The 27,677-nt window shown below is 40.5% G+C and overlaps 1 protein-coding gene across 3 annotated transcripts in view, besides 1 other annotated feature; it reads left to right on the plus strand.

The window, feature by feature from the left end:
* Window positions 1-27,677, plus strand: part of SDC2 (syndecan 2) — a 117,978-nt gene that overhangs the window by 62,511 nt on the left and 27,790 nt on the right. The gene's annotated exons all lie outside the window — the stretch shown is intronic.
* Window positions 23,632-24,137: an enhancer, noted in NCBI's record as "OCT4-NANOG hESC enhancer chr8:97592183-97592688 (GRCh37/hg19 assembly coordinates)". NCBI's record gives its function as "activates a minimal SCP1, AML or CMV promoter by ChIP-STARR-seq in naive H9 embryonic stem cells {active_cell/tissue: H9 hESC(naive)}" and the evidence as "EXISTENCE:reporter gene assay evidence [ECO:0000049][PMID:30033119]".

Genomic DNA, 27,677 nt, shown 5'->3' on the forward strand with positions numbered 1-27,677 from the left:
TTAACCAGTTTTAGGATTTTATTAATTAAATACTTTGCCACATGTCTGGTCAGTTGGTGTCTTTGTATAAGAATGGTACCACTTCCTGGTACCAAAACAGAGATATAGATCAATGGAACAGAACAGAGCCCTCAGAAATAACGCCGCATATCTACAACTATCTGATCTTTGACAAACCTGACAAAAACAAGAAATGGGGAAAGGATTCCCTATTTAATAAATGGTGCTGGGAAAACTGGCTAGCCATATGTAGAAAGCTGAAACTGGATCCCTTCCTTACACCTTATACAAAAATCAATTCAAGATGGATTAAAGACTTAAACGTTAGACCTAAAACCATAAAAACCCTAGAAGAAAACCTAGGCAGTACCATTGAGGACATAGGCATGGGCAAGGACTTCATGTCTAAAACACCAAAAGCAATGGCAACAAAAGCCAAAATTGACAAATGGGATCTAATTAAACTAAAGAGCTTCTGCACAGCAAAAGAAACTACCATCAGAGTGAACAGGCAACCTACAAAATGAGAGAAAATTTTTGCAACCTACTCATCTGACAAAGGGCTAATATCCAGAATCTACAATGAACTCAAACAAATTTACAAGAAAAAAACAAACAACCCCATCAAAAAGTGGGCGAAGGACATGAACAGACACTTCTCAAAAGAAGATATTTATGCAGCCAAAAAACACATGAAAAAATGCTCATCATCACTGGCCATCAGAGAAATGCAAATCAAAACCACAATGAGATACCATCTCACACCAGTTAGAATGGCAATCATTAAAAAGGCAGGAAACAACAGGTGCTGGAGAGGATGTGGAGAAATAGGAACACTTTTACACTGTTGGTGGGACTGTAAACTAGTTCAACCATTGTGGAAGTCAGTGTGGCGATTCCTCAGGGATCTAGAACTAGAAATACCATTTGACCCAGCCATCCCATTACTGGGTATATGCCCAAAGGACTATAAATCATGCTGCTATAAAGACACATGCACACGTATGTTTATTGCGGCATTATTCACAATAGCAAAGACTTGGAACCAACCCAAATGTCCAACAATGATAGACTGGATTAAGAAAATGTGGCACATATACACCATGGAATACTATGCAGCCTTAAAAAATGATGAGTTCATGTCCTTTGTAGGGACATGGATGAAATTGGAAATCATCATTCTCAGTAAACTATCGCAAGAACAAAAAACCAAACACCGCATATTCTCACTCATAGGTGGGAACTGAACAATGAGATCACATGGTCACAGGAAGGGGAATATCACACTCTGGGGACTGTGGTGGGGTGGGGGGAGTGGGGAGGGTTAGCACTGGGAGATATACCTAATGGTAGATGACGAGTTAGTGGGTGCAGCGCACCAGCATGGCACATGTATACATATGTAACTAACCTGCACAATATGCACATGGACCCTAAAACTTAAAGTATAATAATAAAAAAAAAAGAATGGTACCACTTCTTGCTGAACAGTATTTTTATCTCTTTGATGACTTTCCCTTGAACCAAGAACACACTGTTTTGTAGCAGGAAGATCCTATAACTCTATGCTGAGTATTTTTGTTTTTTAAAAGAAGATACATAAGTACTGGAGGAACACAGTGCGTTAAACTTATCCTGAGGATAGATGTTAGGGTGTGTCTAACCCATGTCTACATTTAGGGTACTTTGTAAATAAAGCCCATAATTGGTACACATGAGTAGTTAGAGCAGTTCTAATTGCATGAAACCTGTCTGAGAGAAGGATTCATTCTGTTCTTGGTGGTTGAGAAGATTATAAGTGTAGGGTAGAGCTGTGTGTCATTTAGAAATGTTTTGCTAGGGTTCAGACATGCTGCTTTTCTGGTGAGTGGATATAGGGTGAGAGGAAAGGAGCTGGATTTGCCCTGATTCTTGGGAAAGGAGAGGGGGTTGGGGATTCTGGCTCAGGGTCGGGGGTTCTGGCTCAGAGTTTGGGCATTGGGAGCAATGATTAAGCAGAGGAGTTGGCTTATGGTGTTTTGTGGCGTGCAGCTGATAGGCCTTCATGGATAGGTATGTTTCCTGTGTAGATGGTGGTCTTCAGTTACAGCCTTGCCATGGAGGAAATCTTTTTAAGGTAAACATACAACACAGAATTTCTGAATTTCACCGTCTGAGATAGTCTTAAGGTTCTCATAACTAAATGTCTATACCTAGTAAGTGCTTAGAAATATTTGTTGAATAAATGAATGGATGTGATTTTTAAATGAAATGTCTCTATAAATTGATATCTGTTTCTGAAGCATCTTAATGAATCAAAGCTTTGGAGCACCAATTCTTTCCATTGTAATCCCAACACTTTGGGAGGCTGAGGTGGGCAGATCATGAGGTCAGCCCCAAAGAGGGGAATATAAGGGTGGGAAATATTAAATAACATTACAAAAATAATCCAAACCATAAACTTTCTAGTCAACTGACTTATCTACTGACTTTCCAGTAGATAATCACATTTGAATATGTGTGTGTGTGTGTGTCTAATAATTCATTCCAAACAAACTCACAGATCATGAATGTAATAGTAAACTAAGTGATGCACGGTAGTAAAGAACCTCAATGAAAAATCTTAATGCAAATATTATTTTAAAAGTCACATTTAATTTCCAGATTATTTCATGGATTGCCAGTGGAGGAGCTGGCTTATTTTTAGACTGTTTTTACATGACTTAATGTAATTGGTGAGTAATTTTCTGCACAGTAATTTAATGAGTAAGTCATCTACTTTATGCTCAGTCTGGGCTGGGTGCTTGCTCTCTGGGATCTCCCTAAGGAGTACTGGTGGAAATGAGGTTGCCATATTTGACACAAGGGCCGATGGTGGCTGTGTGGGGTGTGATGACATGAGACAAGAGTGTCAAGGCTTGAATGTCCAAGGAGGTAAAACTTGAGGTGAGGCTTGAAAGATTTCAGATTTTAACAGTGAGAGGAGAAAGGAAGGAATTGCTAGATAATCTTCACTAACTTGGAGATTGAATAGTGAAGAGGGTGACCGACCTTGTTGGAGGTTGTCTGTTGTTAAAAGGTGGAAATGACATGATGTTGTGGGGCCAGGCAGAGGAATTGGGATTTACTAAAGTAAGTAGTAATAGGAAATCACTGCAGATTTCTGAAGAGAAGAGTGAAACTGCAGTTTAAAGAAGCTTGACTTGCTATGTTCATGAGTACTTCTCATGACACTGGTATAATTTGCTGCTTATATAGCCATATACCAGATACTGCCTCCAGTAGGTTTTGCTTCCTTCCCTTTTTAGTGGATTACCAGTGACGATTTAGTGATTCAACCTTTGTAAATATCAAGTTTTGTTTTGAGTTTTATACCTCTGTGAGTTATAGAGTGCAAGTAGGTCTTGTAGTCTCCATTCTCTAAGAAGGGAAATGAAACTCAAGAATTCTTCAGCAGAATTCTAACCAAGTGTGGAATCCATCCAGGAATAGTAAGCCAGCTTTTCTCTTCCACTTACTACTGAACTTCCTAATGTGAAATGAATTGTCTGTTTTGGAACAAAACACCTAGGCTAAATTTACATTTTTGAGTTTGTATTCTTGATAATTTGATCTTAAAATGACAAAATATCAATAATTCATTTGCCTCCTTAATTGTCAACTGATTTTTTAATAGCTGTAAAATGTAATTTACATACCATTCATCCATTTAAAAAGTGTCCAATTCAATGGTTTTTAGCATATTTAGAGTTGTGGAACCATCACTACAATCAATTTTAGAACTTTTTCATCACCTCCCTGAAAAACCTGTGTCCATTAGCAGTCACCCCTACCCCTACCCTGTCATTCTCAACCCTTTCCAGTCCTAGGCTATCACTAATCTAATTTTTGTCTCTATAGTTCAATTGGTATCTTTCTAAACTAGTATTTTACAAAATGTTACTCTGGATTTTGTTATCAGAAGATGGTTTCAGCCTCAGCTTGCTAGTACTATGACCTTGAGAAAATTTCTTAACTTTGTGAAATTTATCCCCATATCTGTAGAACATGAATAGTCATATCTTCACAGATTATTTTGACGATTAAAGGATATTTATGTGAAAGTGTATTAAGTGCTATATGAGTTAACTGTTCTACCAAAGATATGTAACTGAATTATTTTATTAAATGGTCTCATTTTAATCTTTTAAAATAGTTGGTGGAACATAATAAAACACATAATAAATGTTTGGATAGGAAAGGATGGAGTTTTATGTTTTTAAGGCGATGGTTTTATTATGTATGTGATTTTATGGTTTGACTTTTAAGATGGAAGGAGTTTTTCTGAATTTCCCTGGAGAACTTAATATAGTTGTACTTATATTATTTTTGGATCATTAAACCCTTTGAGAATCTAAGGAAAGCTATGTACATATACTTGATTTTCCAAAAAAAAAAAATCAAGAGGTTCATGGATCTTTAAAACTATTTACACAGTCCCTAATACCAGGTTAAGAGCCCCTTTATCTAAAAAGAGAGATATGCCGGGCGTGATGGCTCACGCTTGTAATCCCAACACTTTGGGAGGCTGAGGTGGACGGGTCACTTGAGGTCAGGAGTTCGAGACCAGCCTGGCCAACATGGTGAAACCCCATCTCTACTAAAAATACAAAAATTAGCTGGGCATAGTGGCACGCCTGTAATCCCAGCTGCTCAGGAGGCTGAGGCATGAGAATCACTTGAACCCAGGAGGCGGAGGTTGCAATGAGCCGAGATGGCACCACTGCACTCCAGCCTGGGCAACAAAGCAAGATGCTGTCTCAAAATAATAATAATAATCATAATAATAATTAAAAGAGAGACAAAATAATTCTTCAAAGCCGGGCCAAGTGATTCCACACATTGGGAGGAAGACACAGCCAATCAGCCCAAGGTATGTTTATTTACTGTCCAATTTTCAGTATGTTCTGTTGTTCATATAAAAGTATACTCAGTATATGCTTGCTCAAGCAAGGGGGATTTTCTTCTAGCTATGAGATTGTAAATACACTATACATAGAGAAGACATGAAGACAGCTCTTGAAGACAAAGCTGAGGGGAGGAAGAACAGGCAGCCAGAGTGCCTTTCATACTGTAGCAATACTCTTTGGGCTGCACATTTTAGAGCGCTTGTATAAACAAGCATTGGATTCCCAAAGGCCCTAGGGGAATGCTGTACAGGTTGTGTGGGGCGGCCTGATTGAGTTTATTCTCCAGATGGCTATTACTCACAGGCCACTTAATAACCACTGTTGTTTATTTCATTGTTGTTAGATGGCCCAACAGTACAGCATCCCTCAGTCCATGTAACAAAAATGTTCTTACCATGTCTAAAAAGCAAATTTCTTCCTTACCAAGTCTATTCCCAGTTGCTTCCCTTAATTTGAGATGTATTATTGTGGAAGAATTTGGATACCAGTAGTGAAAGAATCCAGCTGAGAACAAAACTCAGAGGTGCTGGAAAGGGGAGAAAAGAAATGCCAGTTAATGGAATGGCTGGATGGTCCTATCAGGTAAGAGGGCAGACCACTTGCCACACAACCTTTGGATAACAGTCCTTTGTCAGGCATGGGGTTTTTGTTTGTTTGTTTTGTTTTTCCAAATATTTTTTCCTAGTCTGTGACTTGTCTTCTCATCCTCTTGACAGTGTCTTTCCCAGAGAAGTTTTTAATTATAATGCAGTCTAGCTTATCAATTATTTCTCCTGTGGATCATGTGTTTGGTGTTGCATTTCAAAAGTCATCGCCATACTCAAGGTCATTTTGATTTCCCCCCCATTGATCTTCTAGGCATTTTGTAGTTTGCCTGTTACATGTAGGTCTGTGATCCATTTTGAGTTAATTTTTGTGAAGAGTTTTTAAGATCTATGTCTAGATTCATTTTGTTTTTGCATGTGGATGTCCCATTGTTCCAGCTCTATTTGTTGAAAAGACAGTCCTTTCTCCATTGTATTGCCTTTGCTCCTTTGTCAAAGATCAGTTTCCTGTATTTATGTGGGTCTTTTCAGGTCCACAGCCTTTCAGTGACTTAATGCTGAAAAGAGGTGGCATCTTTCCCTGGGGCTGCCTCCCCTGCTTGCCCATGGCAGGATTTCTGAAGGCCACAGTCAGCCTGGGAAGTTAGGATGCCAGGGAGTTGGCATGGAGTCCCTGTGGGACTTGGTAGCTCTGGGGGGCTTCTGAGGAAGAGACTCATTGTTACTGGAGTGAACGTCAGAAGCTCTGCATTGGTGGATTAGTGAGTCCTTTCCTCATTTTCTCCTCTTGTGCAGGCTTCTTGTTCCTAATGCACTCATTCTAACTGATGAGATAATTACAGCAAAATTTTGTATAGCTACTAGAACCAGGAATTCCGTCGACACAATTAGAATTGGTAATCCTTACCTTCAAATCTTCATTCTAGTGAAACCTAAAATAAAATTAGCATTGCTTTCAAGCAGAGCTTTTGTGCTTAAATTGCCCCATTTCTGTTCCATATCTTAAGGCTGACCTCCATTCCAGATTTCCCATTTGGGGACTTGGATGGTTCTCCTGTGGAGCCAAGGTGAATTTAGTGACAGGTTAGTGACTCTGGTGGGGGACATGTTTGCAGTAGAGCTCCACTCTTTTTTTTTTCCTTTCCTGACAATATTTCCTAACTTTTCGCCTTCAGACTATCATTTTGACGCACATCACCCCTAATTTGTTTTCGTGGCTCTGTACTCCTTTCTCTCCAATTACTGTTCCATTGTTACAGCTACCTGAAAGACATTTTCCCTTGACACACGCTGTCCGTATCTCAGACACCTCAGCGAGGTGACTGTGTTGCCAAGTCTTGTCAAAGGTTCCAATTTTGAAACCTTATAAATCTCTCCCTTGCCTGTATTCAGCCTTGCTGGGATCAGCTGTCTTGACAGCCTTCCATCTGGCTTTCCTAGCCCTTCCTAGCCCACCATTCTAACGGCCTTACTTCCTGCCTCCAAAATTTTCAAGAGCTCCCAATTTTCAGGGAGAGTGCGGGCTTCCTAGGCTAGCACTCAGTGTCTTGAATTTCCTGGCTTTTACATAACTGTCATCTTTAATTCTAGCACATCCTCTCATGCTCTTTGCTACCTAACTAAGCTGAGTGCTCTCCCTTCCTTCCATTTCCTATAAATATCTTGTACTTTTCCACTTTTATGTCTTTGTTCTCAGACTTCTAAGCCAGTGGTCCTCAAACTTAGGAATGTATCAGACTCCACATGGAGGCCTTGTTATAGCAGGGAACACGGGGCCCAACTCCCAGAGTTTCTGATTCATTAGGTCTGGGGTGGGGCCTGAGAATTTGAGATGCTGCCGGCCCCAGGGACTGCACCTTGAGAACCACTCTTCTAAACAGTTCTCTAATTCTAATACGTTTTGGTTAAAAGAAACATCGAATTCATTGGAGGCCATTGGTTATTCAGATCTGTGCATTGGATTTTACATCCAACAGTGCTAAAATTGTGTTTTGAACATAAATGCATTTTGAGCTCCTGCTTGGTGCCAGCTGACAGGCCCTTTGTCCATAAAACTACTGATGAATTGAAGGTTATACTTCTGTTTCCTCTCTGCATGTTGGGTGAGGACACTTACATATTTAGCTGTGAGCCACTGGCGGCTACACTCTGTCATTACAGACCAACAGGCCCTACAGCCAGTCAGCTGCCAATTAACAAACTACAGGCTTGTATTCTGCAGGCAGTTTAGCCAAGGGATGCCAGCATCTCTGTTGTTCCTGCCGTTACCAGGCCTAGGCATTGTCTTGCAGCTTGGTAACTCCACCTTTCTAAAGACTCAGGTGTCCCCAGTTGTACTGGTAAAAGGTTTTGCATTTTAGTGTTATGGTTAAATTTGGGAATTAAAAAAATGTAGGAATCATTCCTTTGTCTCATTCACAGTGTAATTGTCAACCACCTGTATCATTAGTGTTGGCGGGGAAAGGAGGGGTGAGGAGTCACTGTGGCCATGGATACATGTCATCTGTCCAGGCCTATAGCCTATTAAAGGCACTTGATTTGAGTACTTTCAACTTTGCAGGGGGATGGGATGTCCAAGGGTGAATGTGATTTGAGTAGGGCATCTGGAACTTTTTAGAAGATAATCAGTACCTAATAGATTTTTTACCGCATAGATTTTTCACTTCTCATTGCACTTGCATTTTGCTGGTGTAGAATGCAGGCCTTGACCGTAGAGTTGTGTGGGTTGCACGTGGATTAGCCTCACACAGAGAGGTAAAGGGTCTCTAATTTAATGGACCTTTGTGAAGGATTCTAAAGTAAAAGTGTACAGAGTGCTTTCTGATTGGCGAATGTACCTATGATACGTTTTATTTGGGCGTATTTTCTTGTTTTCCTTACACACCTGTAGACTTCTGATATCTGACATGAAATAAAACTTTCCAAGAAAATACCTCAAGATTCCAGGTTTTTTCCTACAGTTCAGCTTACACGTGTTATCACATCCCATAGGTAAGTGATGAAGTCTGCCGTGCCAGTGCTTTGGGAAAGCACCCTGCCCACCGTTTTGGGAGTTGAACTTTGTGATTGTTTAGAATACCAGCTTTTAATTGTTTGTTGTTAAATTTTAGTCAATCTCTGTACATTCTTCACTTTGCTTCATAAACTTTGATAAGTTAGCAATGGGATATCCCTTTCTGCCTAGGTATATTTATTCTTTAAAAAATGTACATTGAGGAAGGGAAAGTAATTTTTAGGAAAATTACAGTGTGGTAAGCATACTGATCACTGAGACCATCCTAAATTTGATTTTTTTTTTTTTTTGTTGAGATGGGGAGTGTTGCTCTGTCGCCAGGCTGGAGTGCAGTGTACGATCTCGGCTCACTGCAACCTCCGCCTCCCGGGTTCAAGCAATTCCCCTGCCTCAGCCTCCCGAGTAGCTGGGACTACAGGCGTGCGCCACCACACCCAGCTAATTTTGTTTGTATTTTAGTAGAGACAGGGTTTCACCATGTTGGCCGGGATGGTCTCGATCTCCTGACCTCGTGATCTGCCCGCCTCAGCCTCCCAAAGTGCTGAGATTACAGGCGTGAGCCACCGCACCCAACCCCTAAATCTGATTTAATCTTTGATTCAGAAGATATCTCAGAGTCTTACAGGATCCATGTACATCTTCATTTTTTTTCCTCCATGTTGAAATGAATTTAGTTTGAGTTTTAACTTAATAGGGTTTTGGATAGAATAAATCTATATGTATATGTATTAGGATAGAGACATAATAGGAAGTGTGGTGTTGGGAGACAGAGAATTGAAAATCTGGGACCCTAGCAACAGTTGCTTCAATAACTATAGTACTGAATGTGTGGCCTTTATATCTGTGTCTCAGTTTTCCCCGACTCCAGTCATACCTGCATTACACATAGTTTGGGAAAGACTGCCTTCCCTCTGCAAAGTCCATCTGATTGGAAAGGCTGGGTAGATAACTGCAATAAAGAGATTGAATGTAACGGCGTTCCTCCTGGGGATGGGAGGTGAAGGATTCAGGGATAGGCAGTAGAGTGATCAAAGACCTGGAAGTTGTAGAATTCAGAGTTCTGCAGCCAGTTGACATAGCTGCCTTGTTACCCCACAGAAGATTCATATTGTTAGTGAAAAATATGCCACCGAGAAGACCTGGGCTTGAGTCTTGCTTCTTTCCTGCCCTGTACACCACGTACCAGCTGTGTGATCTTGGGGAGGACCTTAGATGAAGTCCTTTTCCCATCTGTAAAATGTTGGTGATGACCACCATCTGGTCTTCCTCACATGGGCACAGTGAGCACTCACTGGAATAGTGTTCTTCCTGTCATAGATGTAAAGCAGCAAACTGAAAGTTCTGGTGGTTTATCATGATTATTATACTTGTTGGCTGACTTTCTCATGGGCTTCTTAGATGTTTCTCTTAAAGGCAGAATTTTAATTTAAAAATGCATATTATGTAAGAATATTGTAGTTGACTTTGAGAATTCATGAACTGAAACACTTAAACTCTCTCAGGACCTCTAAATATTTCTTGACTATTTCAGAGCATTTGATTTGTCCTAATGCTATGGAGTTATAAAACCATTAATGGTATGATAGCTCTGGAAACAAACATTAATTCATTTGAATTCATTAGAATGATAAAGCATATTGTGCAGGGGTTTTCAGGCATTCAGTTCATAACTATCGAAATGTGGATCATAACAAATTTTGTTTGGGTGTGTTTTCATGTCTAAAGAGGATCTTATCATAACTCTCATACTTATTAGTTTTATGTGAAATACAACTAGCAAGCATATATACATAACAAAGGAAATTGCAGATTGTAGTTTCTCTGAGATTGATCTATTTTATTAAATTATTTTTATTAAATAATTTTTTATTTTATTTTTATATTTATTTTATTATTATTAATTTTTTGTTATAATTAAGTCATTCTGACCTTATAATTTGAGAAGCATGTGCCCTGTTTTCATGCTTTAGTTTTATTGTAAGCATCTATATTTAGGGAGGGGGGTGTGGTTATGTGTTTGTATATGTATGTTCAAGTATATCTTTATTTTTATTTTATTTTTGAGACAGAGTCACACTCTGTTGCCCAGGCTGGAGTGCATTGGCATGATCTCGGCTCGTTGCAACCTTTGCCTCTCAAGTTCAAGCGATTCTCTTTCCTCAGCCTCCCAGGTAGCTGGGATTACAGGCAGCAATCACCACGCCCGGCTAATTTTTGTATTTTTAGTAGAGATGGGGTTTCGCCATGTTGGCCAGGCTGGCCTGGAACTCCTCACCTCAAGTGATCCACCTGCCTCGGCTTCCCAAAGTGTTGGGATTACAGGCGTGAGCCACTGCGTCTGGCCTATATCTTTATTTTTTAAAGTTTACAAGGTGATAGTTTATTAGTAAGCGTTCATGCCAATAACAGTTTCTGTTCAAATGTAGTTAAAGCCTGACTTGAAGAATTCTGGTAGCGAAAGGGGAAGATTTCATACCTCTTAATTGCAATTTGAACAGAAAGTGGCATCTTATAGAAGTCTTAATTTTGGCATGTTTTGCCATTAAAAATTTTTTGAATTTCAATAGCTTTAGGGATACATGGTTTTTGGTTATATGAATTAATCGTGTGTGACGAAGTCTAGGATTTTAGTGCATTTGTCACCTGAATAGTGTCCATTGTACCCAATAGGTAGTTTTTCATCCCTCACCCTCTTCTCTTCCCCACTCTGAGTCTCCAGTGTCCACCTTACCATTCAGTATGCCTTTGCACACCCGTAGCTTAGCTCCCACTTAAGAGTAAGAACATGTGGTATTTGGTTTTTGATTTCTGAGTTACTTCATTAGAATAGTGGCCCCCAGTTCCATCCAAGTTGCTGCAAAAGACATTATTTTGCTCTTGTTCTGCCATTTTTAATCTGATTAAGAATCATAAGAATAATTTCGTTGTCATAGATATTTTTTTGCTAAACTTATTTTTATCATAAACACCTAATTATTCACCCATAGTCTGAGAGGTGGAGTGGAGTAACACCTCCGTTGAGCACCTCCGTTGAGCACAGTGCCAGGCACTCTTAGACAATGTGCAGGCAGTTATTATAACTCCTGTAGAATGCAATGGCTTTATCCTCACTTTTTGGAAGAGGAAACTCCTTCAAAGTGTTGCTGTCATTTGAACCCAGGTCTGCTGCACACTAGAAGGTCCGTATTTTCTCCCATGCTTTTGTATAGAGGCATAATTACTGGCTCTTTACCCTAGTGTATGGCAGTAAAACAAATTCTTGCGTTTTAGCATCAGTAAACTTAAAGGAGAATTGCCTCAATTTTCTTTGCCTTCTGTTACAAAGTTATAGGAGGGTTAAGCTAAGTACACCCTCTTTCTCCAGCAAAGCCTGCGGGTTTTCCTCTCTTCCTCAGAAGTTCTTAATTACTGTTGGCACATCTTGTGGTGAAAGAATATACCTTGTGGGGGTGGAAAATGAAATGTTATCTGTAATGAGTAAGATTGTTGGCCAACCCAAAGAGTTGGTTTAAACAAAAGTGGGGAACAGCTTGAATGAATCTGCTTTTCATAGGTACTTTTAACACATAACCATAACCTGTCAGACATACCAATCGACTGTCAGTTGCTTACATGATTGTTTTAGTGTCTGGTGGTGGAGCCCCAAAGCTCTGTCTGTATTTGCCAGACAGGCATGGTAGTTGGAGCGATGTATGTGGTCAAAGAGGTCCAAAAACTTGCCTAAGTGAAAACCTGGAAATGGAGCTCTTGGTTGGAGTTCTTGATTTATAGGTAGAAATAAATACCACAGAAACAGTGCCACCCTTTCTTGTATCTGCAGGTTTGGAGATTGTGAACTGATTAAATAACTGTAAATTGAGCATGGGTGTGCTGAACCCAGAGCTGGTTAGTGCAGCCCTGTCTAGGACATAATTCAGGCCACCATTTTAGAAGTATGGGTCTTTAGTCCTAAGAGAAACTAGGGGAAAAGTGAATTCATTCAATAAACATGTATTGCTTCATGGTAGGGAAACAGGTAAATGGGGAACTGTTCATCTATTTGGGATAGGCAGATGTAACCCAGAGTGCAATGCAGGTGAGCAGTGTGAAGAGTAAGGAAAAGTCACTGGGTGTCAGGGAAGGGAAATTACACATGGCTGCTGCTTGGATAAGAATGGTAGATAAGATAGAATGTAGAATGCTCACTGCTTCCTCCTCCTTGTTTTTGTGTTTGTTTTTGAAACAAGGTCTTGCTGTTTTCCCCAGGCTAGAGTACAGTGGCACAATTATGGCTCACTGCAGCCTTGAACTCCTAGGCTCAAGTGATCCTCCTCTCAGCCTCCCGAGTAGCTAGGACTGCAGGTGCACACCAACACGTCCGGATAATTTTTAAAATGTTTTGTAGAGACAGGGTCTCACTACGTTGCTCAGGCTGGTGTTGAACTCCCGGCCTCGAGCCATCCTTCCACCTTGGCCTTCCAAAGTGTTGGGATTACAGGCATGAGCCACCACTCTCAGCCTCTTCCTTTTTCTTATACTCTCAGCCTAGATATCCTTTCCTCCATGAAATGCCTTCCCTGACTTTCACCCCAGTTCTAGGTTAGGTTCTCTTACTGGGCCAGTGTAGAGTACAGTACACCACACTTAGCAGAGTATCTACCTCCTGGATTACCACAGCTCTTATCTCTCTCCTACCTGACTCTAAGCTCCTGTAAGAGCAAGAGCCTTATAGAGACAGTCCCCAGTACATAGTAGGTACTTAAATATTTGCTAAATGAACTAAAATGAAGCTGTAAAAGTTGGAGTCCAATTGTGGAGAGCCTTGTAATAATACTAGATGATATTTATTGAGTGCTTACTATGTTTTAGGCACTGTAAAGGTACGTGGCATATATTAACTCATTTAATTTTTCAGTAACCTATAAAGTAGGTACCATTGTTAATCCATTTTCTAGTTGAAGAACCTGAGGCATGGGAAGTTGGGTGTCTTCTCAAAGGTCGTTCACTTTGCTCCCTGCTTCTGGCTCCTCCTGTACTGCTGGGAAATTTAGAGTGGCTCCTGGAGGCGGTGGGGACTGTTAGTGCTATAAGGGGCCCGGAGGTGTGAGCACATGTGCTCTCTGGGAAAGGAGTCCTGACATTGTATGTAGATGGACTACAGGAAGGGGAGTCGCTTGAAGCAGTCCAGAGTCACCTCTGAAATGGCAATGCAAAATATATTCGTGTGATTTGTTGATCTAACACGCAGGATGCTAAGTGCTAGGCATTGTTGAAAGTGCCTTAAATGTTAACTGATTTAATGCTTTTGGCAGCTGCTTGAGGTAGGCACTATCACTATCCTCTCCATTTTATAGATGATGAGCCTGAGGTGCAGAGAGATCCCGCAGCTGGTAAGTGGCAGAGCCAGGCAAGTCTGGTGCCAGGGTTTCAGCGACTATCCCAAGCTCTGCTTAGTCTTCCTGTACAAAGGGAACGATAACTAGTAGTCTCCAGTGATGTTTTTGTTCCAGATAGTACAGGATCAAAGTGATATTTTGGAGACAGATCCTTCCATTTTCAAAAGCATCTGCCTTAAAGACATTTGTCTAGAAATATTTATATGATTGTATCACACTTAATATGTGCTTGGCTTAGAGCAGGCAAAAACAAAAAACAAAAAACCCAAAGACACAGGTCCTGCCCTTGGGGAACTCATACTCTGCTAAGGGGAGATAGAGAAGTATGTAGACTTACAAAGAAAAAAATAATTTCGGCTGAGAAAGGCAAATGAAGAAAATAAAACAAGCCAATGAAAGAGACCTGTGCATTCCACTGTGATAGCCACGAGGTGCATGTGTCCATTGAGTACTTGAAACATGGTCAGTCAAAATTGAGAAATGCTCTAAGGGTGAAGTACACACTGGAATTCAAACTTAGTATGAAAAAAATATATAAAATATCTCAATAATTTTTACATTGATTATATTTTAAGTGTTCATACGTTGGGTTAAATAGAGCATGTTATTAAAATGAATGCTAAGTGAAATAAGCTAGGCATAAAAGGACACTTTTATTGCACTTATGAGGTAACTGGAATAGTCAAGTTCATGGAGGCAGAAATTAGAACAGTGGTTACCGGGGGAAGGGAGAATAGGGAGTTACTGTTTAATGGGTAGAGTTTCAGTTTGGGATGATGAAAGGTCTAGAGATGGATGTGGTAATGGTTGCACAACGGTGTGACGATACTGAATGCCGCTGAACTATACACTTGAAACTAGTTCAAATGGCAAATTTTAGGTATATTTTACTACAACTTTAAAAAGCCAAAAAATATGTGTCACACTTTTAAAAAATGTGACTACTAGAAAATTTTAAATTGCACACGTGGCTTGCGTCATACTTCTGTTGGAGTGTGCTGGGTAGAGAGTAATGGGTAAGATGGTCAGGAAAGGCCTCTTTGGAGAGGGTCACATTTGTGTCCTATGAAATGAGAGGGAACTGACCACACAAAAGGCTTGAGGGAAGCATTTCAGGCAGAGGCAGAGCGGCTGCAAAGGCCCTGGAGTGGGGAAAGTGTGTATGCTTAGGGAGGTGGGATGAAGTTAGGATGGAAAGGGGCAGGTCCCCGATCACCGGGGTCTTATGGGCTTGAATACCACTGCTCTGCATAAAACTTGAAAATAGAAACAAAGCAATAAAAAACTCAAATTTCCATACAGATTAAACCATGCGAAATTGCTGGTATTCTGACCTATTTATATGATTCAGCCTAATCTTGTGTTTGTGGTTCTGGGGTTTGATTCTTTCCCTAGTGATGTACTTGTTTGGCTAGCAGAGAAGGCACTGCCTTGCTTTCTAATTATTTGCTAATTGGTGGGTACCCTAAAGACAGCACCCCCTCTTGCTGGCTTACATACCACTTTGCCTGACAACAAATTTGTGTTGAAACGGAAGGAAACCCAGCTGCTCACAAACTAAAACTGTCACAAGTAATAAAAAATCCTGAAGACAGTACCTTGAACATTTTCTATTTCATAAACTTTGTCTTTGTCAGCTTGGTGGCTTTTGGAACCCAGAGGGAGCAATAATAGTATCATTAGCGCCTTTGGATCCTGGCGCTGTGAAGTCACTGGGAGCATTTATTATTATTGCACAGGTAGACTTTTCTTTCTGGAAAGGTCTTGGCTCAGGACAAGTAAATTGAAGGGTTGGCTTTCTCAGTAGGGAAGGGTTGTTAGGAAGGTAAATTGGGGTTTGTTTATCCTTCTGTTAAAGGCCATCAGTGCTGGCTCAAGCAGTCTCGTGGAGGCTGCTGCCACCCTGTTTTTTTTCCCAAGTCCACCTTGGTGGCCTCATTGTGTGTTACTACTGCTTTTCCTGGAGCAGGGGGTCTGGGACAATGAGAGGCAACCCTACAGGAGGTGCTGCAGAATGAATTGTTTTCTTAGTGGTTTTTGACTCCAGAACCCCTGGTGGAAAATGTTTGTTCATATTAAAGGAGAAGATGGTTAATACCTAAAATCTTTCATCTTATGGAAAGTTTTTTTGGGCTTTGAAACATCTCTGGCCACCTGCTGAGGACCAGTGAGTCTGGCAAGTGGTAATGCCCACTGCCTGTGCACTGGTCTTTTGTGGAGGAGTTCTGTGCCACATTTGAACTCCCCAGTCAAATGGTTCTAGTGGTGTCTCAGGTGGTATGAAGCAGAGAGGTGCCTGCATTCGGTTCTCCAGGCTGGCCCAAGTTTAAAAGTTGACTGGGTACTTTGTGCTCCCTTGGGATGGCTAGATATTTCCTCATAACCTAGGTGCTGTGTAAGCTAATTTGTTAAAAAAAACAACAAAGGCCCCATGTTATGTAATTATTGATATCTGAACCACAAACCAGAAATCTGTGCCCAGAAACCATCCCACAATTTCTAGATTTCCACCCCTGCACATATCGTGGTCCATTTCTATAGGATCACTGTTGGTGTCATCTTTGTTTATTTACTGTCCAATTTTCAACTGCTATAAGTCATTAACTACATTAGTTGAATACTTTCTTACCCCAAGGAATTCCTTATTGCAGTAGGTTTATATGAAGGTGGGGTTAGCTTTAGACTTAGCTGCAGAGTCTTCATTTATTTTTCAGTCCTAATCAGCTTTATTTGTTTATTTTGTTTTGTTCATGTCAGGATTGGTCAGATTGTTGTGACCACCAGCTTAGTTATGACACGGACCAGGAAAACTGTGTGACCTCCCCAGAGCTGGCTTGAGCTACAGGAATAAGCACTTTCTTAATGTGGGGCCTTGCCTGCCTGAAAGATCAGATGCATCTGCATAAATATAAATAATTACTTGTATTCTTGTTTTTTGTTTTGTTGTTTACAGTTTACATGAACTATTTCACGTTTTTTCTCTTTAATCTTCATGTGAAATTTGGGAGATGGGCACAATTATTGTCTCATTTTATAGACAGAAAAACTCAACCTCAAAGTTTTAGTCCAGGTGTCTGACTTCAGGATGGATGCTCTTCGCAGACCTCCCAACAACAATGTTGCCTGACCTTCTGGCAAGTTTCCAAGAGTGCCAGGACCCCAAATTAGAAACCTGGGTGCTGTGCTTACACTTCATGTGTGGGTGATGAAGGGGAAACCATGGGATTGCTAAGGCTCAGGTTCCACCGTTGCAAAATGGGGCTAATACCTGCGGCGTTGGATGCTGGGAGGATTTTGAGGTCTTATCCATGTAAAGTGATAACAGCACCTGACACACAATTGCTCTACGAGGACAGCAGCGACTATTGTCATTTAAAGAAATAAATCATCATATCCTCTCACTTACCCTTCATTCAATAAGTTGGCAAGACCTGTAGATTTTACTTACTTTAATACCATTGACTCTGCCCTGGCTTTCTAATCCTTCTGGTTTGGCACTTCTTACACAATTCCCGCCATAATTGGATGGATCACACTGCCTCCAGTCAAGCCCCTCTAATCTGTCATCTGCACTACATCCAGCCTGATCTTTCCAAACACAGTTTTGACCTTCTCCTTGAACATCCCTCATTTGCTTACAGAAGAAATATAAATCTCCTAGTTTTTCACCAAAGATTCTTTATAATCTGACCCTCTTCTTAGTCTTATTTCACCTATCCCGAACACACACCCTACCCTTTATCACACAGAACTAAAACTCCTCTCTTTTCTCATCCTGTCTTGGTGCCCTAAATGCCCGCATTCCGTGTGCCTCATTTGACCCTATTCTCCCCCTGCCCTCTGCACCCCCTCCCCTCCACACCCCCTCCCCTCTGCATAGCTAGCACCAACTCACCTTCAGCTTTGGGATCTTAGCACCGTGCACACACCCTGCACGGTGCTCAGTGAATAAATGAATTAACTCTTGGTGTAAGTGGATACAGTAGCCAGCATCTTTAGCCTAGGGGGTCTCGCAAGTCTCTAGCCTTTCTAAGGGGTTGGCAAGGCTGGACACAGACTAGATCTTCATGGGGAAACCCTGGGATGGCAGCAGAGCCACCTGAAGACCTGGAGTGTGCACCTGGGATCTGAGGGGAAGAGAAAGAAGTGAGATCACAGTCACCAAAACATCTGCTTTATCAGCAGCAAAAAAGCCTACCTGTGGTTGATCTGAATTCAAATATATGCCAGCAGCAGCTGTCTCATCAGAAACTTATCTAGAGCTGTCATTTGGCTATTTAGAATTTAAACCACAATTGCTTCCTAAATATTCTCTGCAGAAGTAACTGCCCTTCCCCACCAAGCAACAACCAGGCAAGATCAGTTATCTGTGGTTACCAGGTACAAAATCTCCATTAGCTGAAATAACAGCCAGGCCTGCTATCTGTGTGGTCTGCAGGACCTTGTTCTCTGTGGTAGGAATTACACCTGTTCACAGTCATTTGACTGCTTTCTACTGAAGGTGTTAAAGTGCTAGGCTTGTCTTACTGTTGTTCTGTGAAAAAGACATTTAATGCCTCCTATCTTTATTTTATGTTTTATGTCTTTGGAAAAATGGAAGAACTATGGAAAATGTATTGCGTTACCTGTAGGTTCTAGACCAGTGGTCCCCAACCTGCTTGGCACTAGGGACTGGCTTTGTGAAAGACAGTTTTTCCACTGACCGAGGGCAGGGGTGGGGGATGGTTTCGGGATGATTCAAGCGCAGTACATTTATCATTAGATTCTCACAAGGAGCGTGCAACCTAGATCCCTCACATGTGCAGTTCACAATAGGGTTCGTGCTCCTATGAGAATCTAATGCCGCCACTGATCTGACAGGAGGCGGAGCTCAGGTGGTAATGCTCACTGGCGGCTCACCTCTGCTGTGCAGCCTGGTTCCTAACAGGCCACGGATCGGTATTGGTCTGTGGCCTGGGGGTTGGGAACCCCTGTTCTAGACAACCAGAAATCTAAGCCTTTCTCCTTCATGAAAACTGTAGAGATGCAGAGCCTTCTAAATATGTTTCCTGAGTGAGCACTGGCATCTCTTTGACTTCAGTGCTCAGATACACAGGTAACGAATGAAAAAACCTGAAAGAATTGTGAGATCCACCTGGTAGGTGTCTTGTAAATACCTGTAATTGCAAACCTGCGGGGTGGTGGGGGTAGGGTGGGGTAGGGTGGGGTGGTGGCGGGGAGAGTTTCTGAGATTCAGGTTACTCTCTTTATGTTTGTTTTAGTCAACTTTTCACTGAAGTATAACACAATCAGAAAAGTACACAGATCATAAGTGTACAGTTTGAATTTTCAAGTCATCCTTTTAATATATTAATATACAATACATGAATAATTTATGTATTCATGCCACGAACAATTTCTTTCTTTAATTAAATTAAGGGGTTGGTGAGGATGGCAGTAGGAGCCAAGTTCTGAGTTCTGTTCTGTTGACATAACTGTTGAATCACTTCCCCCCACTCACTTGTTCAAGGAGGCAAGGTTTTGTTTCCTGGGGGTAATATCTAAGCCATTCACAGCCTGAAATGTTTACCTCTAATTTTGTTTCTTTAGCTATCTGAATACGTGAATTCCATTAAAACCACACACATAGAAAAATGATTTCTGTTCTGCATGTCAGATTTTTTGTTTTCCCAATGAAAGTGCACCAAAGAGTTTGCAAGTAGCTCTGATAAGGAAGTTCCTTACTGTGACTGGATTTGTTTTCTGCCCTTATAAAGATGCCTCTCTTACCTGCTTTTCTGTCTTCCCCCTTACCGTTGTCAAAGAAACCTTTTCCCTTTAGGGCCCTAGCTTATCTGTCAAGTTCATAGCTGTCTTTTCTCCTAGAATATTATGTGGTTACCACCCTCCCCGATCCCCACACACAAATACATCATGCAGTCTTTTGTGGGCCCAATTTATTTAAGTCAGCTAACTACAGGCTAGTATAATTTTTAGCAGATTTCACCTCATTCTTGTACCTGGTATGAAGGCGGTACTTTCTGGTCCCATTAGTGATTAATACCAGCTCTGGTGTCACCTGAAGTTTTTTCAGCTGGAGTTACCCTACTGCCTTCCAACTTTTAAATTATGAATTTGCAGATACACAGAGAACTTGAAAGCATAGGACAATATTCTCCACATAAGTTCAATAATTGGTAGTTTGTTTTTGTTTTGTTTTGTTTTTTTTTACCAGATTTGCTTTATTATTCTCTTTTTTTTTTTTTTTTTTTTTGAGACGGAGTCTCGCTCTGTCGCCCAGGCTGGAGTGCAGTGGCGGGACCTCGGCTCACTGCAAGCTCCGCCTCCCGGATTCATGCCATTCTCCTGCCTCAGCCTCCCAAGTAGCTGGGACTACAGGCGCCCGCCACTACGCCCGGCTAATTTTTTGTATTTTTAGTAGAGACGGGGTTTCACCGTTTTAGCCGGGATGGTCTCGATCTCCTGACCTCGTGATCCGCCCGCCTCGGCCTCCCAAAGTGTTGGGATTACAGGCGTGAGCCACCGCGCCCGGCCTATTCTCTTTATATACAGCTTTTTTTTGTTGTTTGGTTGTACCATTGACAGTAAATTTCAGTGATCAGGATACTTGACCCCTGAGGATTCAGCATTTATCCCCTGGGAAAAAGGAGAAAACACAATCTCACCTAAGAAAGTTAATGGTGAATACATTTCTAATATTCAACCCATATTTACATTTCTCAGTTGTCCCAAGAATGTATTGAGATGTAGTAGACTTTTAATCCTCTGCAGTTTATTAATACATCAGAGAAATCCCAGTGATTGTGCTGGCTAGGTGGATGGAACGGTGGTGCAACTCATTATTTAATACTTGTACACAAATGAGCTATTTTCCTAGAGAAGACTGAACTTTCCATATCTGTTGCTGGCATCTTGCTTTCTTGCTTGATGGAACAGTGTAGGCAAGAATGAATGAATGAGAATGAATGTATAATACCCATTACAACTGTAAATGGGCTACTTATAACTTCCAGAAGTCCAGGAATGTGTCGTTTATTTGCTGAAGCTAATTGAGTCTGATACCAGAGAGATGAGGCAGCTAGGTACATACATCATTAACAAACAAGAACCATCTCTTGTGTGATTCATCTAAAACCTGGTTTCACTGTAGAAGGGATGGTTGGTCAGGGCAGAATATATGGACAGGCCTCAGGAGTTCTCCAGGTATTTGTCTTTTTGATCATGAATAGACTATTTTTTCGGTAGAGTCTTAGATTTATCAAATAATTGAGCAGATAGAACATTGTGTTCCATATACCCCCCATGCATTCCCCCATTTCACCTCTTACTGTATACTAACATATCTTGTATTAGTGTGGCACATTTATTGGGATTAATGAACCAACATTGATACATTATTACTAGCTGTAGTCCATAGTTTACATTAAGGTTTACACCTTGTATTATACACTTACATGAGTTTTGACAAATGCATAATGTCGTGTATCTACTATTATATTATCATACAGAATAATTTCACTGCCCTAAAAATACCCTGTGCTCCACCTATTTGCCCACCCCCTCTTCCCCTGAACCCCTGGCAACTGCTCATCTTTGTATTGTCTCTGTAGTTATGCCTTTCCAACATGTTGTGTATTTGGAATCATACAGTATGGAGCCTCTTCAGATTGGCTCCTTTCACTTAGCGATGTGCCTTTTAAGTTCCTTCATGTCTTTTTGATGGCTTGATAGCTCATATCTTTTTATCGCCAATAATATTCCATTGTGTGGCTGTACTCTAGTTTGTCTATCCATGCATGAAGCTTACTGTTTTACACAAATGATAGGACATTTCAGCACATAGCAGTTGTTTGATAAATAGTCATTAAATGACCTAGTTAGATGGACTGCTTAATTTTTCTGCCAGATATGTAGTGCCAAGGGAGAGTTGTGATGGAAAAGGCAATTATGTTGTTAGGCACTGACTTCTGTTAATGTACAGTTAATGTTTAAGTGGCTTAGCCCAGCAAAGGTAGGTGGCTTTGATGTGTCCAGGCTTCCAACAGCAGTTTCTTAAATTCTCTTTAGAGCTGCACTGTCCAGTATGGTAGCCACTAGAAAAGTCTGGAAAAATAGCCACATGTGTCTATTTGAACTTAAATTGATTGAAAAGTAAATAAGATGAAAAATTCAGTACCTTGGTTGTACTAGCCACATATCAGCGACTCAATAGCCATATGTGGCTATTTGCTGTTATTTCGGACAGTGCAGATGTAGAACATTTCCATCATCACAGATTTTATTAGACAGCCCTAATGCAAATAAAAGCATTCAGAGAGAAGGATGGGATTGAAATTAGTTGACCAGGCTGATTCTGGTTTCTCTTTAATGCTTAGCTCTTTTGTGCCACAATTTTACAATGGAAGAGATGAAGCTCAGAGGTCTGTTTGCTGAAGAACAGTTGCTTAAGATGACTTTGGGGATAAAAAGGCTGCCAGGCCAGTGAAGCTGTGAAATGCCCCCTGTGTGACAGCCCCAGGCGGCATGGCTTGACAATGGTTTAGGCCCTTGATCAGCTAGTGTTAAGGAGTTTTACAGAACTCTCAGCTCTTGCTTATTTAGTTTGGTGTTGAAAAAATAAAGAAAGAAAGAAAAGAAAAAGCAGGGGCCTTCTCTAATTTGAGGGGATGATGGGGTGGGTGTGGAAAGGGAATTAAACTTCCCAACTAATAAATTTGGAAATTGTACACCCATTTCCTCAGTAAACTCCTGCGGTTGTTGGATACCAGGAATGTGAAACCTGAATGCGTATCAGACACTTGCCACAGGAATTGTAGCTCAGTCCCTTGTAACTGCAATTGCTCTTATTTGGGAGCAAAGCAAATAGCAGTTAAGTTTTTTTGTGTTTTGTTTCTTTGCCAGCACTTCGGATTTGATCAGATCTAATTTCATTCACGTGGTAGGTGCCACGCTGACAATAAAGCATTATGGGCTGTCAGTCTACTTAGATTTCAATTCTGTATTCGTTTTATGTATGGCATTTTAATAAAGTCTTAATTTTTTTTCTTCTAAACAGATAACAGACTAGATTATGTTGTGCTTTCCTTTAATGTCTAATCTGGAAATTGGCTGTTGATGCTAGTGAGGGTTTTTAATATAAGTTTTAAATGAAAATGCCAAATTGCTTTGTCTGTGCATTGTAGCTTTTTAAATATTGACTTTGTGCCTTTTGAAATGCTTGAGTTTCTAAGAGGCCTAGCGTGAAAAGGCAAACTTGACAGAATAATATATCTACCATAATTCCTGTGAAAAGACTTAAAATATTCTGGTATTTGGAAGTTCAGTCAGGATGTGACCACTTGGAACCATGACTGTCTATAAACACAGGCTTAGAATTGATACTTTTCTCTAAGAATAGGCACAGAGAAAATAGTATATTATCTTGCAAATTAAAAATTGGAAATGCCAGATCTCAAATGAAGACAGAGTTTTCCTCAATCTTTAAGCTATTGTCATCTGCTAAAGAACTCTTATAAGAGTTGCAGAGTTTTAATCAGTATTTAACAATTATTGAATTTGTTCAACTGGCATTTGTTTTAAACAAACATGTTGTCTCTTACATGAAAGGCAGGATAACGTATGGCTTTCTTTTATCTGCTACAATTTTTCTGTAATTTTTGAATATAACATTTTAATTTAGATACTGTTTCATGTTAGCAAAGTCTAGAAAAATTGATTATAGTTTCTTAGCATGGGATTGTTTTCTTAAAAGCCGTGAAAGGGAAAAGAATCAATATTAGGGCTTTCCGAATGGCAGCTTTTTACAGAGCCCCCCCAGCACGATTGATTATAGCTGCTTTTGTAAAGGATTTAAAAAGAACAATCTGTATTAAAAACATCATTCTTTGGTATGAGCTTTAACAGCTCTAAATGGGTTACCATGGGGGCTGCGCTGCAATGTGACCACTTGAACGGATTGTGGTCATCACCGGTGGGCCAGGGCAGCGAGGCAGGGGAAAGGCTCTTAGGTGAGGCATTGCTGGCATGCATGCCAAAGAGGTTACCGTGGCAGCTGCAATCATTCAGCCGCATTCTTTAGCCTCCAAAGCAGGAGGGGCAAGAAGCGTGTCATTTTTCTACAGGCAGAGTGTAAGGTTAAGCAGCAGGAAGGGAGAGTCAGAGGATGTCTTTGTTCCAGAGCATTTGCCAAAGCCAGGTATGTCCAGTCAAAGGGATAATGCAACCGATAGCTCCCAAGCCTCCATATCCTCAGCTGTTGCTTGTTGCCACTGAGGGGTGGACATGTTTTCATTTGGCATCTTACATGTGAGCATCATGACTACAGACTCATCTTATACCAATTAAATAATAAACTCCACTCTGTGGGCAGAGGTTCTGTCTGGAGGTGAGTGTGCCTGAAGCAGTTAAATCTATTAAATATTAGAAACATTGGTCCCATCCTCACAGGGCATGGGACAGGGCCCAAGCAAGAGACCATTAATGTGGACTGGGCTTCCAGAGTTTAACTCAGTAAGACTCTGTGGGCTCTAGAAAATTCAAATGTAACAGGTAGTCCAGGTGCTTTCATTCTAAAAGAGGGAGCGGGGTGCTCATTGCCATTGGCTACTTTACAGAAGGCATTTATTTGCAGGAATGGGGTACCCTATTAATTTGGGAAGAATTGAATATCCTAGAGAGTATGGGGATTTTTATAAAATAGTGTTGAATTTAGCATCACTTTTCATTTAGCACCCCTGGGTGCCAAATCCCACAGGGGCCTCTGTAGTATGGCTTGCCTCAGAACTAGTAGAATCAGCTTTTTTTATTCCTGGACTAACTTGGAGAAAAAAAATTCCTGAGATGATCTATTTTTAATTCCTAACTGTTTTGCTTTTCTTCGTCTTCCATATTTTTAGAAAATGAAATGTTATATCTCTTATGAAATGGTACTTACACATGTGTGTTCCAACTGAGACTTTTAATTGTCACTAGTAAATTACTATAAATCAGCCTCATTCGGGGGCAAAAAATAATAATATGTGTTCTTGTTTTAAACGTATTCTCAAAAGTGCTTCTTAAGTAGTATTTTTTAATTAAGCATGTAATTTTATCATTTTGCAAATTCGCTTTTACCTTTCATCCTGTGCGACCCTGATATCATAAGAATAAGAGTACTATATGAGGGCTGGGCATGGTGGCTCACGCCTGTAATCCCAGCACTTTGAGAGGCTGAGGCGGGCAGATCACTTGAGGGTTAGGAGTTCGAGACCAACCTGGCCAACATGGTGAAACCCCGTCTCTACTAAAAATACAAAAATTAGCTGGGCATAGAGTTGCACATGCCTGTAATCCCAGCTACTTGAGAGGCTGAGACAGGAGAATCTCTTGAACCTGGGAGGCAGAGGTTGCAGTGAGCCGAGATTGCACCACTGCACTCCAGCCTGGGCGACAGAGCGAGACTCTGTCTCTTAAAAAAAAAAAAAGGTAAAAGAGTACTATATGATTCTGTCAGCAGGATGCTGGAATGTCTTCATATATAGATTCTGATGGAGGTAGATTAGAAAGACAGAAGGCAGCACGGGAGTGGATTAGGTTACCTTTTGGATTTTTGAGGGCTTTGGCCACGTGTCAGTTTGTACAGCTGATGAAGTATTTGTCATTGGTGAAAAAAAAATTACTGTCCACAGGTTTCCTTTCCCTCTTATTGGGCAAGAACCTGAATGTCTTCTTCAGAGAAAGTACTCATATACAGCACTTCAGCACACCAACAGGAGTCCTTTCTAAAATGCGTTTGCTTTGAGATGGCACAGGTCACGTGATCATCAGTATACTCTGCGTGAAGCATGTCAGTTTGACCGGGAGCTAATGCTTCTGCCCCAACTGCCATGGTGCAGCTCGGGGAAGGCTTCATTTCCTGGGGAATTTCATGCATTTTCTGTGATGGATTTCATAATGGGCTCTAATACCTTTAAATATTTTCCTGGTTCTTCTGTCAAGCAAACCATTTCTTTAAAAGTTGCTTGGTTGGCCATTATCATTTATTTTACTTGGTTAAAAATTTTGGCCAGGAACAGTTCCTTTATATACAAAAATAAATACAGAACCCAGGGCTATGAGTCTTGGGCAGAATCAGGCTGTTTTCCCAGTAGATATCAGGAATATGAATAATCTCTTTGACACACAGTGCAGCCACCCTGGTGACTTGGTGCTAGGTATTAAAAACCCTACCGTTCAGAACAGTTTCTTTTAACTTCAGCTTTGAAATTGGTGGTCTCGTCAGCTTTAGATTTATTCCTTCTTTTTTAGCTTTCTTGCTTTTGTTTAGATTTTTAAATTTTTAAGAGAGTCTTTGAAAGTGCTGACACATTTTCAGGCTCCCAGTATAAGGAACCAACTGCAAGTGTCATTTTCTTCATTTAAAAAGTCCTCCTAGATCAGGTCACTGTGTCCACTTATAGGCTTTCCTGTAATCAGCAGAAGGAGAGGCTGCCATTACAAACAGGTGAGTTAGGTGTAATAGATTGGACGCAGAAAACCAGGAGCAGTATGGAACATCTGCCCAGCTCACTGGCATGTCAGCCCTGCAGGTGTGTCGGAGGCACAGGGCTCAAGTGCAGGCATCTCCCTCCTCTGGTTGGGGCTAAGCTGGAAGGGAGCTTGTATGCTGGGAAACGGAGCAAGCTCACCTTGACATGGAGTGGCTTCCTCCACTTGAAATAACCCAGGAGCAAGGAGGCGCTAACAAGACGGGTTATTAGACCCAGGAATTTTTAAAACCTGAAATCTTGCAACTGAATATCCATTTTATTAGACCTTTTGCCTTTGTGACCACAGGTGAAATGGATCAGGAGTGGCCCAAGCACTGTTCTGTGAGTTGGCATTTTTCTGAAGTGTGATTTTTTTTTTTTTTTTTTTTTTAGTACTTACATACTTCCATAATATTTGCTTCTTTTCTTAAAAAAATCTTTTGTAGAGATGAGATCTTACTATGTTGCCCTGGCTGATCTTGAACTCCTGAGCTCAAGCAGTTCTCCAGCCTTGGCCTCCCAAAGTGCTGGGATTACAAGCATGAGTCACTGCACCCAGCTCATGACACTTGCTTTAGATTTATATATAATATATATATGTAATATACAATATATATGATATATGTAATATATATATTATATATCACATATAAAATATATATTATATATATTATATATCATATATAAAATATATATGACATATGTGTGTGTGTGTGTGTGTGTCTTGTGTTTGGATGTATTCGCTGTTAATTAATTTTCAAAAGTTTATTTGCACAGTTGATGTCTGAAAGCTGGTTCCAAGTCATTTGTGTCTATGACTTATCGGTCTTGTGCTTTCTGTGCTTTCAGCAACATTATAGTGCCAAAAATGTAGCTGTAATATCAATTAGGAAAAAAATTACACATAAATCCACCACCCTAACCAGTTATCTTTCTTCTTCATTTTCTATTCCCTTTCAGTGCTTGGCCAAATATATATATGTATTTGAAATATATGTGTGTGTGTGTGTGTGTGTGTGTGTGTGTGTATATATATATATGAGAAATTGCAATATAGTTGTAATATTAGAAAAAAATTAATGTATGCTTTTTAAATTTAATATGTCGTTACAAACACTTTTACTTATTACTATGTGGTATATGATTTTTAATGGCTATGTTGAGAAAACTAATATATCATGCATAATTATTTACCAGACATAGTACACCCCTGTAGTGGGCATTGAGATTGTCTCCCTGATTTGTCTTTAATGCAGTAGTAAACACCCTAACTTTTATTTCATTAGGATAATTCCTGGGAGAAGAAACAT

The sequence above is a fragment of the Homo sapiens genome, chromosome 8, assembly GCF_000001405.40.
Source record: "Homo sapiens chromosome 8, GRCh38.p14 Primary Assembly".
NCBI lineage: Eukaryota > Metazoa > Chordata > Mammalia > Primates > Hominidae > Homo > Homo sapiens.